Source organism: Homo sapiens, chromosome 5 (genome assembly GCF_000001405.40).
Source record: "Homo sapiens chromosome 5, GRCh38.p14 Primary Assembly".
NCBI classification, from domain to species: Eukaryota; Metazoa; Chordata; class Mammalia; order Primates; family Hominidae; genus Homo; species Homo sapiens.
The window spans coordinates 60,267,192-60,283,900 of NC_000005.10; the positions used below are offsets into that span (position 1 = coordinate 60,267,192).

Consider the following 16,709-nt stretch of genomic DNA (forward strand, 5'->3'; position numbering starts at 1 on the left):
ACAGCATATAAGCAAAGAGATGAGAGAGGAGAGGAAATCTTCATCAGGGCCAGTTATTATCTATCAGGGTCTACAAGCGGCTGTGGTTGGAGTAGAACTGTTTCATGTGAGGGTTGTGTGTGTGTTTATATCTTTCTGTATTTTCTAATTTTATTAATGAGATCATAGTATATAAATAAAAATATTTGAAACACATACACATAAAAGATAATTAGAGCACTTCAAAACCATGTGCTGTCATACAACCTATTTGTTATAGATGAGAAAGAGCTTGACTGGAAGCAGACATACTCAGTTTTGTCTCTAACTGTATACTTCAGCAAAATACGCTTTGGGCTTCAGTTTCCTCACCTGTAAAAATAAGACCACCACCACCTACTTCACAGGGTTTTCCTAGGATTCAATATTACATCTATGAAAGCACCTTGGCCAGTGCTGGTACTTGGAGGCATCAAAAAAGTTCATTTCCTTACCTTTTCCACAATTCCTCTGCTCAATTCAGGGATTCAATCCTCTGTTTTGATTCAGGGCTCTCCACAGAGATTAGACTGTAGAGGGCTTAACAACTTGCAAAAAAAGTATCAGACAGCTGTTTCCAGATCTGTGTTTGCTGTCTTTTTTGCACCAAAGAAAACACTTCTCCTTTATTTGTAAAATCTGCTGTCTGTGGCAAGATTTATCAGGGCGCTGTAGGAGTTTCTGACAAAGAAAGGGCACTCTTCCACGTTCATTCCCAGTCAAAGGCTGGCTCTGGGGTGCTGGTAGTGGTACTTTTCCCTCACTTACTAGCTAACTTAAGGCTATGAAAGAACAAAATCACTTAAAACCAGAGGAAATGAGACCTTTCCAAGCCCTAATCATGCAGGCTGTGCAGGCACCAGGTAGAGAGAACCGCTACAGCACCAAGCACAATGAAAAATTCTAGAGCAGACAGATGCCTCATTCCTGTTACCACCATAGTCAAGGTCATATAAGGAAAACTGCCAGATGATGGAAGAAAACAAACATTCTCAAGAAAAAAAGCCTTCATCATGCCTGTTTACAACAAAATCATCAAATCTGAGAGGAAATGTTTAAGAAAGTAATAGATACAAAATTCAGTAATGGGAGGCGCACATTTTATTTGCTTACTTCTAGGACCCACCACTGACTTAGAAGCCACTCCCCTAGGTCTCTCCAATAAAAGCTTATCTTTACCAAAAGGAAAAGCTTTGGCACTACTACAAAGAATAACATTAGTAACCACCATAGGGAGGACCCTCTTCGGGTGTGGACGGCTACCTCACAGGCTTAGCAACTTACAGAAGGTACCTCAGTAGCACATAATGAAGGGCATTGCAAAGTGATCTCAAGTCTCCTGGACAGCCTAGTTTCAAGGCAAAAGCTTAAAGTACTAAGAATTAGTTTTGCCTCTGCTCCCAGCCTCCTGTGGGAGAGCAGGCAGATCCTCTGGGTCCACCATCATCTCTTAAATGAGAGCATTGTGCTTACTATCAAAAAGCTCTTTGATCTGAGGCCCAAAATCCTACTGAAGTTCTATGCCATATTTTGTGTCTATGGGCAGATGTTCATTTTTCTGAGAGAAGTTCCATGTCATTTGTCAGATCCTCAAAGAGGCCCATGATCCAAAAATATATTAAGACCAACTAAACTAAATAACTTACAAGCTTTCTTACAGATACCAATCATTAGAGGAAGTTTTTCTGATTATAAAAACAATGCAATTTATTGTAGAAAAATTGAAAAGTGTAGGCAAAAAGAAAAATCTGCTGTTATTGAGCCACTCAGAAATAACCACTGCTAACATTCATATATACATAAATATTTCTTGGCCGGGCGCGGTGGCTCACACCTGTAATTCCAGCACTTTGGGAGGCCGAGGCGGGCGGATCACCTGAAGTCAGGAGTTCAAGACCAGCCTGGCCAACATGGTGAAACCCATCTCTACTAAAAATATTTTAAAAAATTAGCTGGGCGTGGTGGCACATGCCTGTAGTCCCAGCTACTCGGGAGGCCGAGGTAGGAGAATCGCTTGAACCCGGGAGGCAGAGGTTGCAGTGAGCCGAAATCGTGCCACTGCACTCCAGCCTGGGCAACAGAGCAAGACTCTGTCTCAAAAAAATACAAAAAACAACATAAATGTTTCTTGTATTTTGTATTTATATGGTATTAGGCTCTGCTACATTCCACATTTTCACACATTAAAAATTCTTCAAAAACAGCAACTTTAATGGTCACATTTTATCATAGGGATTTAATTACATTTTATCTAACTGTTTTCCTGTGGTTGGACACCTGTGTTGATACTAATGTTTTGCCATTATAAACAATGCTGCTGTGAACATTCTTAAAAGACCAATTTGGTTATATTTTTGTTGGTAATAGCTACTAACAATTTTTGGGCAAGAAAATAGCAAAATCTCCAGAACTAGGGATCTATTGTACACCATGGTGACTGCAATTAATAAAATGTATTGGACACTTAAAAACTGCTAAAAGAGTAGATCTCAAATGTTCTTACCACAAAAAAGTTATACATATGTAAGATGATGAATATATTGATTTGCTTGGTTTAATCATTTCACAATGTATACATGTATTACAACATCACGTTTATACCATCAGTATACACAATATTTATTTGTCATTTACATCTTAATAAAGCTGGAAGCAGAAACAAAAAGAGCAAAATCAATATTTATCTTATGATAGTACAGGAGATGAATTGAAATGGGGAAGACTAAAGGCTTGGGAAGACTAAAGGCAAACGGTTTTTATCTGAGAACTTGAACCAGGGGAGAGACAGTGAGACTGAACATGAAGGTCCAGATACGGAACACATGCTAAAGGGAAATTGCCATAAGTCAGTGGTTCAGAGGGAGACAGAAGAATCAAAGAGTCAGCTGACTTTCTACTTTCACAATTGAAAGAATGAGTATACCATGAACCAAGACAGGGAAAGAGATAGGAAGGTGAAGAGTCATTTCTAGAAGGTCACTGCAAGAAAGATAACTGCAAATGTCATGATCGAACTGCTTCTTTTTATCATAACAAAACATATCCCCAAAAAGCAACTGATAATCTAGGGTACTCATTTACAGTTACATAAACTAGAAAGTAGGAGACAAGGGAACCCGTTGGTGTAACATCTCTTTGCTCTTGAATGTTCAAATCTAATAAATTAGTTATTAATAATGATATCTTCTAAAGCATAAAAGCTGAGCAGTTTGTATCATTCAGACCAGAATAATATTTCATAATTATGACTATATACCTAGAATGGTAATTTTTAAAAATTATACCACATTTTTCATCTTTATCTCTATTGTTTTATTTTGCTTTTTATTTCTATAGGTTATTTTAATCAATTCTATTTCAAATAAATGAGGTAAGACCTATGGGAAAAAGAAAAGTCCAGAAATCAATGTCACTAACATATAAAACACCACCAGGAGGAAGTCAGCTAGAAAACTAATTCAGTGATGACATTTTGAGCTCTCCATGACATAGTAAAGCCAGTAGGAATGATAAAGTAGAGATTTTCTCAATGAAATCTCCGCTTATCATTCAGATGTCTGAATTCAGCTCTGAAACAGTAACCCTGGACTTAAATTTAAAATGTCATATTTTATTTAAATATTTACCATGTAAAAATTTCTATGTCATTCTTTATTATTGAAATACGTTCTTTCCAAAAACTTCAGATTGCCAAGCAAAGATGTAGCTGAATTTCTGATAAGATTCTTTGAAAACACCATTTTTACTGATTCCAGAATACTCAAGAGAATAAAAGATGCAGATAGTGGCCATCTAGCAGAGAGGAAGTTGATGTTCTCTTCATTTTAGTACGAGGTTACTATTATTTTCTATAGCCACCTTTCCTGGTATGATAAAGCTATTACATATGTATTTATTGGAAGCTGTTTTCACATGCCAGGCACTGGTACTAGGTGCTGATGATACCATCAGCACATTTTCACATTTTCACACATTAAAAATTCTTCAAAAACAGCAACTTTAATGGTCACATTTTATCATAAGGATTTAATTACATTTTATCTAACTGTTTTCCTGTGGTTGGACACCTGTGTTGATACTAATGTTTTGCCATTATAAACAATGCTGCTGTGAACATTCTTAAAAGTCCAATTTGGTTATATTTTTGTTGGTAATAGCTACTATTACATGAGATCAAGCCCATAGAAATGTAATTGATCTAATTCTTTTCTTGTAACTGGAAATTAAAGGAACAAAGAAGCTAACTAATTCCTTTTAACATTAATCCTATAATTTCACCTTCTAATTCTTTCTTTCACAGTCCCATAATAAGTGAGAGGAAAATTGACTGGTTACATGAGAGCCAGTGAGGTGTAATCCCCACCAAAGAAAAGGCCCTATATAGTCATTCTGAAAGCCAGAGAAAATATGAGGAGAAGGTTTTAATAGCTCCAAGACTTCCCTGCGCTAATCTGGTTTTCAGATAAGACAGTGAGAAATGTGGTAAAAACAGCTCCATGTGTCATTTCAAATGAAATACAGCATTTAAATTGCCTTAGTCTGAGTTACACGCTGCACTAAGCCATACTTTTCCATATAAAGTAAAAGATACAACCTCTGCTCCAAAGGAACATGAAGTAATTCAAAAGAATGGCACACAGTATTGAGAATGACAAAGCACCTAGAGACCATGATCTATTCCCTAATTGCAGGAAATGAAGCTTGAACTTTACAAAATAAGATTCAAAGAAACGGAGGAGATGAGGAAGAAGAAATGGATTCTAGAGCAATTCCTTTGTGGCAGTGCATAAGGAAAGGGACAGAAACAAGAATAAGCATACTAGCTCCCAAGATAAGCCTAGAGAGCAAGACTCCACTGGTATTCAGTGTGCCAGGCTCCTCCTACAGAAGAAACAGTGACATTAATTTGTGCTAGAATGTGGTCTATAAAGGGATCATCAACCCTCCACCTGGGAGACAGCATTAAAATTATGCTCTGCAGATTGCTAAAGAGGATGACCCCATACAACACAAATCAGGAGAACATGGTAAAACTAAGATGACCTTGAGGGTCCAAAATTCTAGTGAAACATTGGCAAAGGCCCTAGAGATGTTGGGCTGGAGTGTTTGTCATCAACCCGTATACTTATTCATTTGCTGTTCATTTAGTAAACTTCAGTTGATGTTACAAAATTTCCCTAGGCAAATATGCATGTAGGAAATGAACTGCAATCTTTTAAAACTGGTGTTTCCATCAAAGTTAGTTCTTACAGCTCCCTCGAAGAAGAGATCACACAGGTCTGCAGATCTTTTAGAATGGCATTGGTTTATCACTCAACAGAGAAGACTGCCAGCTCCACAACATGAAGGCAGTTTATTCTTCTCCAACCTAGTGCTGATTAGGTATAGACTGGGCAATCTACCACATACAACCCAGAAACTGAAAGAGAGAGAAGGCAAGGACTCAGAACGTGGAATTGTATCAGTTAGACAAAAATCCTCATCTAGTTCTGGAAGGAAATGAAACCTAGAAAAAAAGAACTGCTGCAAGGATATAAAGAATTTAATTGTTAACTGAGGCCCTTTAAAAATTATATTATAATACCTCGGCAGAAGGGAATATGTCATTCAACCTAATGACTTCTCCGCTTATTTTAGGTATACTTTTTCTAAATATCCTGGAACAAGAAACTGAGCACTGTGATAAACAGAGAAGCCACTATCTATAATGTGATTTGTGTATTTCTAACAGTTATACGACTACCTCAAAACCTCTCTCACACTTATTTACCATGGCAGGTTCCTTTCCTTACACTAACTGGGTATTTTGTTTATTAATAATTATTTAGCACAGACTATAATAGAGACATCAGGCTTGATGCTAAGGGCAGAGTGAAGAAGATAATCCCTTCTTAAGGAGCTACTGAGGAAGATAAACAAGTAAAGAGGGAACTGAAGGTCAGTGTGGTAATTTTAACACTAAGGATAAGAAGAGGGCATGTAACTCACCCTTGAGAGAGGCAGGGTCAAGGAAGTCATCTATTCAGAGGTAGTGTCTTAGCAAATAAAAAAAGAATAAGAACTAGGCAAATGGGAGAATGGAAAGACACTCCAAGCAGAGGCATCACCTCTTCAAAGGCTTAGAACCTACAGAGAAAATGGTACATACGGAAAATGCATCCAGTTCAAGGTGAAAAGAAGATCCTTGGAAGGTGAGCAAGCACCAGATAATTAATAATTTTTAAGTCATAATAAGGACTCTCAATTCTGAGAGCAATGGAGAGCTACTAAAGAGTTTTAGATCTAAGAAGTGGCAAGAATAAACATTCTCACTGCCATATGGAAAGTGGATTAGAGATGGACAGACAGACTAAAGGCAGGGAAATTAGTTAGGACACTGTAGCAGCAATTAAGCAAGAGATGGTGAAGACCTGCACCAGAGAAGTAGAGGCAAAATGGTGAAAAGTAGGTGGAATCAAGAGTGATAGAATCCACAGATCCTAACAACAAGTTCCATTTGGGGTGGAAAAGAGGGAAGGAGAATCAAAAATGCCCCCCAAGTTACTTATCACTGAAACAGAGAATGCAGGAGGAGACGCAGACATGGTAGGGAAGATGAGTTCTAGTCTGGGCACACTGAATTTGAGGTGACTTTGAGAAATCAAAAAAAAAATGTCCACTCAGTGACAAGCCAGAGAGAGATCTGGCCTGGCCACGGAGTGATCAATACATGAGTGTTTCTTGGGAACACTGGAATAGATGAGCATGCCCAGTCAGAATGCATGAAACAAGATGTGATGCTCTCAAGACATTGGTCTCAGGGCATCAGGAGATGGTGAAAGGATCCATGTTACCTTAAAAGGGAGGAAGCTGATCCTCTCCTGATACACTGGAATTATTTGTGCATCTCATCAGCTAATTTTTAGCTGAGTATGAAGAGGTAAACCTTGAAAGATGGTGAGTCAGGCAAATATTGATGATGGGGGTAGAGAAAAACAAGATGAAGTTAAAAAGCAGGGTGTTCAACATTAGTTCTAGACAATAAGGGATAAAACCATCACAACTGGGATTCTTAGGCAACTAAGGAGCCACTTAAAATCAGTGATCATCACTTTAGGTTTTATTTTGTTGTTATTTGTTTGGTTCTTGTCGTTGTTGTTGTTGTTGTTGTTGTTGTTGTTTTGAGACGGAGTCTTGCTCTGCTACCCAGGCTGGAGTGCAGAGTGCAGTGGTGCAATCTCGACTCACTGCAATTTCCACCTCCCGGGTTCAAGCGATTCTCCTGCCTCAGCCTCCCAAGTAGCTGAGATTACCGGCATGTGCCACCACGCCCAGCTAATTTTTGTATTTTCAGTAGAGACAGGTTTTCACCATGTTGGCCAGGCTGGTCATGAACTCCTGACCTCAAGTGATCCACCCGCCTCAGCCTCCCAAAGTGCTGGGATCACAGGCATGAGCCACCATGTCCAGCCGGATTATCACTTTAAAGAGAACAAGAAGTATGTGCTCTTCAGTGACTCTACAACCTCAGGTACAGAAAACCAAGCAGAGATCATTCAGATTGCTTGGGCTATTGGCAGTGTACCATAAAGCTATCTAGACCAGTTGTTTTCACCTTGGCTGCATTCCCACTTGGAAAATTTTTTAAAATGCAAATATCCAGATGTCCTATGGACCCTTGTAATTCAAATTATATTTTTGCTACCAGCAGTATTAGCATCTGTGACAGTGTGTAATATCCAGACCACAAATTAAAATCTGTATTTTCCTAAGATTCCCTGGGAGATGTGCATGCACATTAAAGCTTGAGACCTGCTGCCTCAGAATCACTTGAAGGAGTTGTTAAAACAGAGATTGCTAGATCAGGGATGGGGCTTGTGAATTTGCATTTCTAACAAGTTTCCAAGTGCTGCTGCTGCTGCTGAGAGGCTAATACTGTATTTTGAGAATTTCTGCCATAGAACAATTCAGAATCTCGCTGGATGGGACCCAGGCATCAGTATATTTTTAAGCTCCCTAAGTGATTCTGATTTCCAGCCAAGGTTGAGAACCACTGGTAAAAATATTTTTCTGCTCTTCATTACATAAGTAAGGAAATGACTATGAGAAGCAACTTAGCTATCCTCTAACACCAGCTTAAATTCATGACTAAACTGTTCTTTAATATAAGATAAAATATATTTAATATAATTTTGATTAATCAAAAGAGAAAGAAAGATGCTGCATCATCCTTAGTGACTCATTTCCAGAGATATGTTTGGTTATGATTGGAAAAAAGGTCACCACAAGTAACCATTATCTTAATCATTACAGTAACCATCAATCAATTTATTAATTTTAATTTCTGGTAATTTAATAGGGTATTGGCATTTTGAAGGCCACAATGTGTTTTTTGAACTCATGTTTTTTTTTTTAACAGAAGCAAGGTTGTATAAATTATTTTTCCCCAGTCAGCCTACAAAACCAATTCTTTTCTTCTGTGTGCTTTGGGTTTAATTTTACCTTCTTTTTTCTAGGTTCTTGAGGTAAAAGTTTAGGTTATTGATGGAGTCTTTTTCTCTTTTTTAATGTATGTATTTGGTACTATACATTTTTTTCTTGGCATGGCTTTAGTTGTGTCCCACAAATTTTATAGTGCATTTGTACTTTTGTTAAGCTTAACTTTTTTTTATTTCCCTTGAGAGTTTCTCTTTAATCCATGGATTTTTAGAAGTCTGTTGTTGTTTAGTTTCTAAATGTTTACAGATTTTTCTATTATCTTTCTCTTATTGATTTCTGGTTTGATTCCACTGTGGTCAAAGAACAAACACTCTGTATGATTTAATTGTTTTGAAATTGGTTGAGGTTCTTTACATGGCCTAATCATCTGTATTGTTATAAATTCTATAGACACTTGGGGAAAATGTGTATTTTGCTGTTATTGAAAGGAATGTTCTCTAAGTGTTGATTAGATCCAGTTGGTTGATGGTGCTGAGTTTTTCTATATCCTGGATGACTTATAGCCTAGTTGTTCTATCAATTGTTGAGAAAGAAGGGCTGGAGTCTTAACTGTAATTGAAGATTTGTCTATTTCTCCTTTCAGTTCCATCAGGTTTTGCTTGGATATTTTCAGCTCTGTTGTCTGCATATGCATTTAAGATTGCTAAATTTTCTTGGTGAAGTGACCCTTTTACCATGCCTAATTAAACTTGCCTAAAGCTGACTCCTTACACATTTTAAGTTAGGCCTGATGGTTTATATGTATATAGTGAACTGTAACCTAACAGGGTGTGTAAATAGACAGCAACCTACTCTTGTAAGTAGCAGAGTCTCAGCCAATCACAGCAGCCATACTTTAGCATTCACAGACAGCCAACTACTCAAACCTTGTTCAAATAAGACACCCAGCTGTAACCAATCCAGGTGTTTCAGTATCCCATTTCTATTTTCTGTACATCACTTTCTTTTTTCTTTCCACAAATTCTCTCTGACTACACAGCAGTGCCAGAGTTGCTCTGAATCTATTCTGGTTCTGGGGGTTGTTTAATTTGCGAATCATTCTTAGCTTGATTAAACTTGTTAAATTTAATTTGTCTAAAGTTTTTCTTTTAACACCATTTTATAATGTACCTCTTTGTCACTAGTATTTTTTTTTTGCTCTGAGGTCTACCTTATCAGATAGTATAACTATTTCTGCTTTTCTGTGATTAATATTTATATGATATACATTTTTATCTTTTTAATTTTGAACTTGCCTATATCATTATATTTGAAGTGAGTTGCTTCTAGACAGCATATAGTTAGGTCATATTTTTTATTCCATAATGCCAGTCTTTGTTTTTTGCTTTGTTTTGCTTTAAGTTTCTTCTGTTTGTTTTTTCCTTTACATCATGTGCCTTTATTTTTATTTTTTAATTGTATACATTTAAGGTATATAAAACAATATTTTATATACATATACATAATAAAATGATTACTACAGTCAAACAAAAGAAAATTAGCATATCCAATGGGGAAAAGCGGATTTTCCTCTAAAAGCCAGTACAAGACAAGGATCCTCACTCTCGCCACTTCTAGTCAACATAATACTGAAAGTTCTAGCAAAAGCATCTAGAGAGGAAACAGATTTAAAAATATATCCATATCAAAAAAGAAGAAGTAAAATTATTCCTAGTTGCAGATTACATGATACAAAATTCCACAAAAATCTGTTAGAATTAATAAATGAATTCAGTAAGGCTGCAGAATACACAACCAACATACCAGCATTTGCATTTCTTTACACCAATAATGATCTATCCAAACAAGAAATCAAGGAAACCATCCTGTGTACCATAGCATAATGCAGTTATATAGGATAAAGAATTCTAGAGATGTAATGTACTAGCATGAGGGCTGGAGTTCATAATATTACATCATATACTGAAATTTTGCTAAGAGAATAGATTTTATGTCTTCTTACCACAAAAAAAGGTAACAATCTGTTTTTTAATTGGTGCATTTGGACTATTTACAGCTACTGCAATAATTGGTATGCTAGGGCTTAACTCTACTGTTTTACTTTTTGTTTGTACAACTTTTTTAGTAGCTGCTCTAGGTATTACATCATATTTGTTTAATGTATCAAAGTCTATTGGTTTTGTCATTTTATCACTTAAAGTGAAGTATAGAAACCTTACCTCTTTGAACGTCCCTTTAACCCTCCACACTTATAATTCCCTTAAATATTTTCTCTACATACACTTAGAACCACACCAGAAAATGTTATAATTTTTGTCAACCATCAAACATAATTTAGAAAACTCAGGAGAAGGAAAGTCTATGGTATTTATACATATTTTTGCTTACCATGTTCTTTTGTCCTCCCTGATGTTCCAAGGTTCCTTTTTATGTTACTTCCTTTCTGCTTAGCTAACTTCCTTTAGCCATTCTTTTACAGCAGATCTCCTGGTGATAATCTGTTTTTATCTAAGTATGTCTTGATTTCCTCTTCATTCCTAAAGAGGGTGTTTTCACTCAGTATAGGTCACAATTCTTATCTTTCAGCACATAAAAAAAAATGTGTGTCACTTCTTTCTGGTCTCCATGGTTTCTGATGAGAAATCTACTGCCATTTCATTGATTTTCTTATATAAGTAAGGAATAATTTTTCTCTGGCTGCTTTCAAGATTTTCTTTGTGTCTTTCATTTTTGAAAGTTTAATTATGAAATGGTATGAATTTCTTTGGGTTTATCCTGTTTATGGTTCACTCAGGTTTATGTGTTTTACCAAATTTGGGAAGTTTGGGACCATTACTTCTTCAAGTAGTTTTTCATCCCATCCCTCTTTCTCGTCTCTTTCTGTACTCTGATGACATGAATGCTAGATCTTTTGTTATAATTACATGGGCCCATTAGGCTCTTGTTTTGTTTTGTTTTGTTTTTCCCATTTATTTTTTTTCTGTTGTTTAGGCTAGGTAATTTCTGTCTTCCATTTTATTATTTTTTTATCTCCTGTATTCTGCCCATCCACTAAGCTTTTTCTTTTAGTTATTGTATTTTTCAGTTCTAAAACTCCACGTGGCTCATCTTTTTCTCTTTTATTTCTTTGCTGAGGGCTTCTCTTTCCTTGTTCAGGTTCTCTACTTTTTCATTCATTCTAAAGGTGTTCAGATTTGCTCATTGAAGCGTTTTTATCATGACTATTTTAAAACTGTTGTCAAATAACTCTAACACCTCTGTCATCTCAGTGTTGGTATCTATTAATTGCAATTTTCCTTCATTTTGAGATCTAGTTCTTGGTATAAGAATAATTTATTAAAACCTGTTCATTTTTAAATTATGTTAAGAGATGCCATTTCTTATTTAAATCTTCTGTTTTAATTGGCTTTCTCTGACACTTCTCTGGCAGGTGAAGGGGCAGGTGGTACTGCCTCATGATTTCCACATGGATGCAAAGCCCAGATTCCCCATTCAGCATCTTAGGAAGAGGCTCCTTATTACTGCTGGGTGAAGGTGAGAATTCTAGGAGTTCCAACTCCCAGTTGGAACACTGTAATGAGGGTGGCCTTGTTATCATAGGGCAGTGGTGAAGGTCCTGAATATTGTCTAGGCCTCCACGGACACCAGCCCAGTCAGGAGAAGAAAGAGCACCCTATTACTTCCAGATGGCTTTGGAAGTCCAGAATTACCATGTGGTCTCCACTGACACTGAGAATAGAAATGGAGCTCAGTGATGATAAAACTCCTGGTTCCCTCCTTGCCTTTTCTGACACTATCCCAGTGTGGACATTGGGGTACTTCATCAGAATCTCAAAAAAGTAAAAACCTAAGCTCCCGACATGGCTTTTGCAGGTATAGATGTGACTGGGTCCACAATGCTTTTTCTGTTATTTACCTGGAATATGGTGGTTATTATCTAAAAGTTTTGTCTTGTTAGGTTGACCCTCTCTGGTCCTTTAATTATAGAAAGCATGCTTTTGTTAAGAATGTTTTTGCTTACCATGTAATGCATTGGTATTTTTGTGTTGTTGATTTCTTTTTTTTTTTTTTTCTTGAGACAGAGTCTCACACTATCCCCTGGGCTGGAGTGTAATGGCATGATCTGGGCTCACTGCATCCTCGACCTCCCGGGTTCACATGGTTCTGCCTCAGCCTCCTGAGTAGCTGGGACTACAGACACTGCCACGATGCCTGGCTAATTTTTTGTGTTTTTAGTAGAGATGGGGTTTCACTATATTGGCCAGGCTATTCTTGAACTCCTGACCTGATGATCCGCCCGCCTCGGCCTCCCAAAGTGCTGGGATTACAGGCGTGAGCCACCACACTCAGCCCATGTTGTTGATTTCTTAAGCTCCAAGTCTGGTATATATGAGAAAAAAAGAAAACCCAGGGCACTCCAGGCTGGGCAACAGAACAAGGCCCTGTCTCAAAAAGGAAAAGAAAAAAGGAGAGATACTCTATTTCTATATAAATAACATCGTTTTAAACAACATTACTCAACATATGCAACAAGTAAGTCATTATCATTCCTAGAGTAAGGAATCTAAATTGATTGAAACTCATGTGACACAGCAATTAATATGTTTTTCTTTTGGTCCCAAGGCCCCAAGCTAGTCTGCCTTCTGCCTTCTCTCCATATTTCAGAGTATTCCTCTATATACATACATATATATATATAAATATATATACACACATATATATAAAATATCCAAGATTTTTAGTTGTATTTAGCAGGAGGAATAGGGAAAGCTATGTATACTCCATCTTCCTGGAAGTCTCAATTCTTTAATAGGATGAATAATTAGTGAATATAATTAAATTTAACTTTTGCAGAATAGAAATTATCTGAAAACATTACTAAGTCACTAACAGTAGCTTAAATAAAACAAGAGAGTAAGAAACAAACCAGGAACAAGTACAAGCCAAAGTTATAGATATAATCTGAGGCAGGGAGAGCTACACTTCGTGGCCTCAGGTTCATATAACCAGATGTCAGAGGCTGCTGGAACAAACCCTCAGCACCTGATGCCTGAAAACAGGATGCATCATGGGCCTTGAGAAGTTACTTAACTCTTCATCAGTAAATAGCATCATTGTGAGAGCTAAGCAAGTTGGTAAACATAAATAATATATAGCAGGGCCAGGCTCACATTAAGGCTCTATAAATGTTAATTATTAACTTACTAATTAAAAATATGTTTATTATCTAAAATAAGGGCTGAGATAAAAATCTATCTGGTGTAATTCTTAGGCCACAAATCTCTAAGGCTTTGGAGGTCAATATAGCAGAGGACATTAAGTTCACCATTACTGAACTTAACATGTGAAACACACTGCCTGCTGACAAGGACGTTTCAATCATTTCAGGCACCTGCTTAAGTTCATAGGCAGCATTGTCAAACTAGTTTAGAAATAAATATTGAAAAAGAGATACATACAAGGTCAGGGGGAGCTAAGTCTACCCCTCCCTCTCTCTCTACTTTGTTTCAGTAGCAGACTTCGCTGTTAGATACTTTCTCCATACATACAAGGTCAGGGGAGCTAAGTCTACCCCTCCCTCTCACTCTACTTTGTTTCAGTAGCAGAATTCCCTGTTAGATACTTTCTCCAAACGTACAAGAAAGTACCTCAAAACCACACAAATCCAAAATCAAACTTCTTGTCGTTCCTGTGGAAATTTGCTCTTCCTTCAGATTTCCCTATTTCAGTAGGAAATATTAACCTCCAAGGAAACCAAAACAGAAATTACAATAATCCTTTATTTGCCATTCCTAAAAAGTCACTAAATGTACTGATTCTATATCCACACTACTTTAACTTTATTCCTGTCTCTCCCCACTGTCATTTCTGTAGTATACCAACTACGATGGCTGAAATCTATGAAATCTTTACAAAGAATTATTCTAAATGATAATAAATTTATGAAAGGAACAAGAATTTATTTCAATAGATAGTAGATCTTATTCAGGACAGTTTTAACATGACCAACCCTTTTTTTAAAAATTAAGCAAAAGAAATGTTAATTATTAACTTACTTAGTTAATAATAAACTTAGTAAAAGAAGTGAAAAATAATAGAAAAAGTAAGAATAAGAAAAGAAGGGGCCGAGCATGGTGGCTCAATCCTGTAATCCCAACACTTTGGGATTGCCTCCCTGAGGCAGGCAGATGGCTTGAGCACAGGAATTTGAGACCAGCCTGGGCAAGAGCAAAACCCTGTCTCTACAAAAACGTACAAAATTAGCCAGTCCTGTTGATGCATGCCTGTAGTCCCAGCTACCCAGGAGGCTGAGGTGGGAGGATCACTTGAGTCTGGGAGGTTGAGTCTACAGTGAGCTGTGATTGTAGCACTGCACTCCAGACTGGCCAACAGGAAAAAAGGAAAAAAAAATGAGAGATACTCTATTTCAATAGAAATAACATCGTTTTAAACAACATTACTCAACATATAAAACAAGTAAGTCATTATCATTCCTAGTGTACAGAATCTAAAAGGATTCTGTGATACAGAAATTCATGTGATACAGAAATTAATCTTTAAAGAACAAGAGAGAAATAAACATATATATATATATATATATATATATATATTTCTCAAAATGAGCTCTATTTGTCAGGCAAGACTATTCAGGGAAAAAAGGATTATACGGTAAAAAAAAATCTGGAATATGCTACATTTGATCAATGAAGATTGAAGAGTGCATTAGCATATTGTAGGTTGGAAGTCCTGTGGTAACTTGTTTAATTTGGTCTAATATGAAGATCCCAAGGTTTCAGTGACAGTGAAAACATTCTTTTTCCTCTAAGTGGCTTTCATAGAAATAATGAGAAGCTCCAGCTTAGAAACCACATGGAGTCCATCATCATTAAAAATTTGTTGATTTCAAATGAAACAAATAAAATTTGTTATTACTATGTTCTCTGTATCTATGTCCTCTTGTCTTCTTTCTTTTATAAAGACACGTTTTGTTGGGTTTGGGGCCCAGCTGGATAATCCAGGATTATTCCATTTGGAGATCCTCAACTTAATTACTTCTTCAAAGATCAGTTTCCCAACTAAGTTCATATTGACAGGTTCCAAGGGTTAAGACATAGGCATATGCTTTTGGAGGCTGCAGTTCAATCCACTACATATGAGTTATTTGGAAGCATGATATTTAGTGTCCAGATATCTGGGGACTTCCCAGGCATCTTTCTGCTACTGATTTATAACTTAATTCCACTGTAGTTTGAGAACATAGTCCGAAATCTTTTTAAATGTACTGAGATATATTTTATGGTCTAAAATATACTTTATACTGGTAAATATTTCATGCACATTTGAAAAGAATGTATATTCTGCTGTTGTTGGGTGGAGTGTTCTAAAATGTTGATGCAGTTATTTGATTGTTTTTTCAAGTTTCTATATCTTTACTGATTTTCTGTCTACTTACTCTACCAATTACTGAGAGGGGTGGTAAAATTTCTGACTATAATTATGAGCAGTATGTACTATATTACCATGTTTTCTAATATTATCTCCATCTTATACCCTCAGGTTCATTAGTATCTACACAGAGAGTGCTTCCTAATGCATTATCTCCCTCTTCTATTAGAAGTATTGCCCATCTTTTGTCTTATTTTGTCATAGATATTTTTTCATAAATTTTGGTTAATATATAGGAGATAGTTGACTTCAAAAAATTCAATTTCAGGTTTTACTCATACTTTGAGACTCAAAGTATACTTTTTTGTTACAAATGTTGTAAATTATGTTCTTAGTTTCATGAACTGTCTGCTCCTAATCATTTGATGTAATTCTGCACACAATCAAAGCCACTTATGAAATTTTGTGAGAGGTACTAAATGCTCTACTGAAAAGTTTTTGGCATTAAATGTTTTAAAAGAAATAAAAAATGGTAACATTTTTCCCAAATATGTTAGCAAATTCAAGAAGCAGATTGTACTAATTACAATTACTGCGAAGTTACATATGCATCATGAACTCAAATTTCTCTTAATGAGGCTTAATGTAGCTTAACACTTTACCTCATGGGAGTTACAATAATGGAAAGAACACATAAAAAAATTGAGTTGATTGTTCTATATCACAGCAGGGCCTGTAAAATGTGCCAGGTCTCCCAAGGTGGCCATACTCTTTGATAAATTCACCTATGAGCTGCTGTTATATTTGAGGGAGGCTCATGAACTACCATCTGCAGAAAAGGGAAAGGCACATGAGGACTGCGTGTATTTCCTATGCACAGAGTCAAG

At 36.5% G+C, this 16,709-nt stretch overlaps 1 protein-coding gene across 12 annotated transcripts in view; it reads right to left on the reverse strand.

The window, feature by feature from the left end:
* The window catches only part of PDE4D (phosphodiesterase 4D), a 1,553,091-nt gene that overhangs the window by 1,298,154 nt on the left and 238,228 nt on the right, over positions 1-16,709 (reverse strand). The window contains exon 2 of one of the 12 annotated variants that reach the window (XM_047417295.1): positions 10,825-10,973. The exons of the other annotated variants lie outside the window; for them this stretch is intronic. The gene's annotated coding sequence lies outside the window, so the exon portion shown is untranslated. The remainder of the gene's footprint in view (positions 1-10,824; positions 10,974-16,709) is intronic. 12 annotated transcript variants of the gene reach the window in all.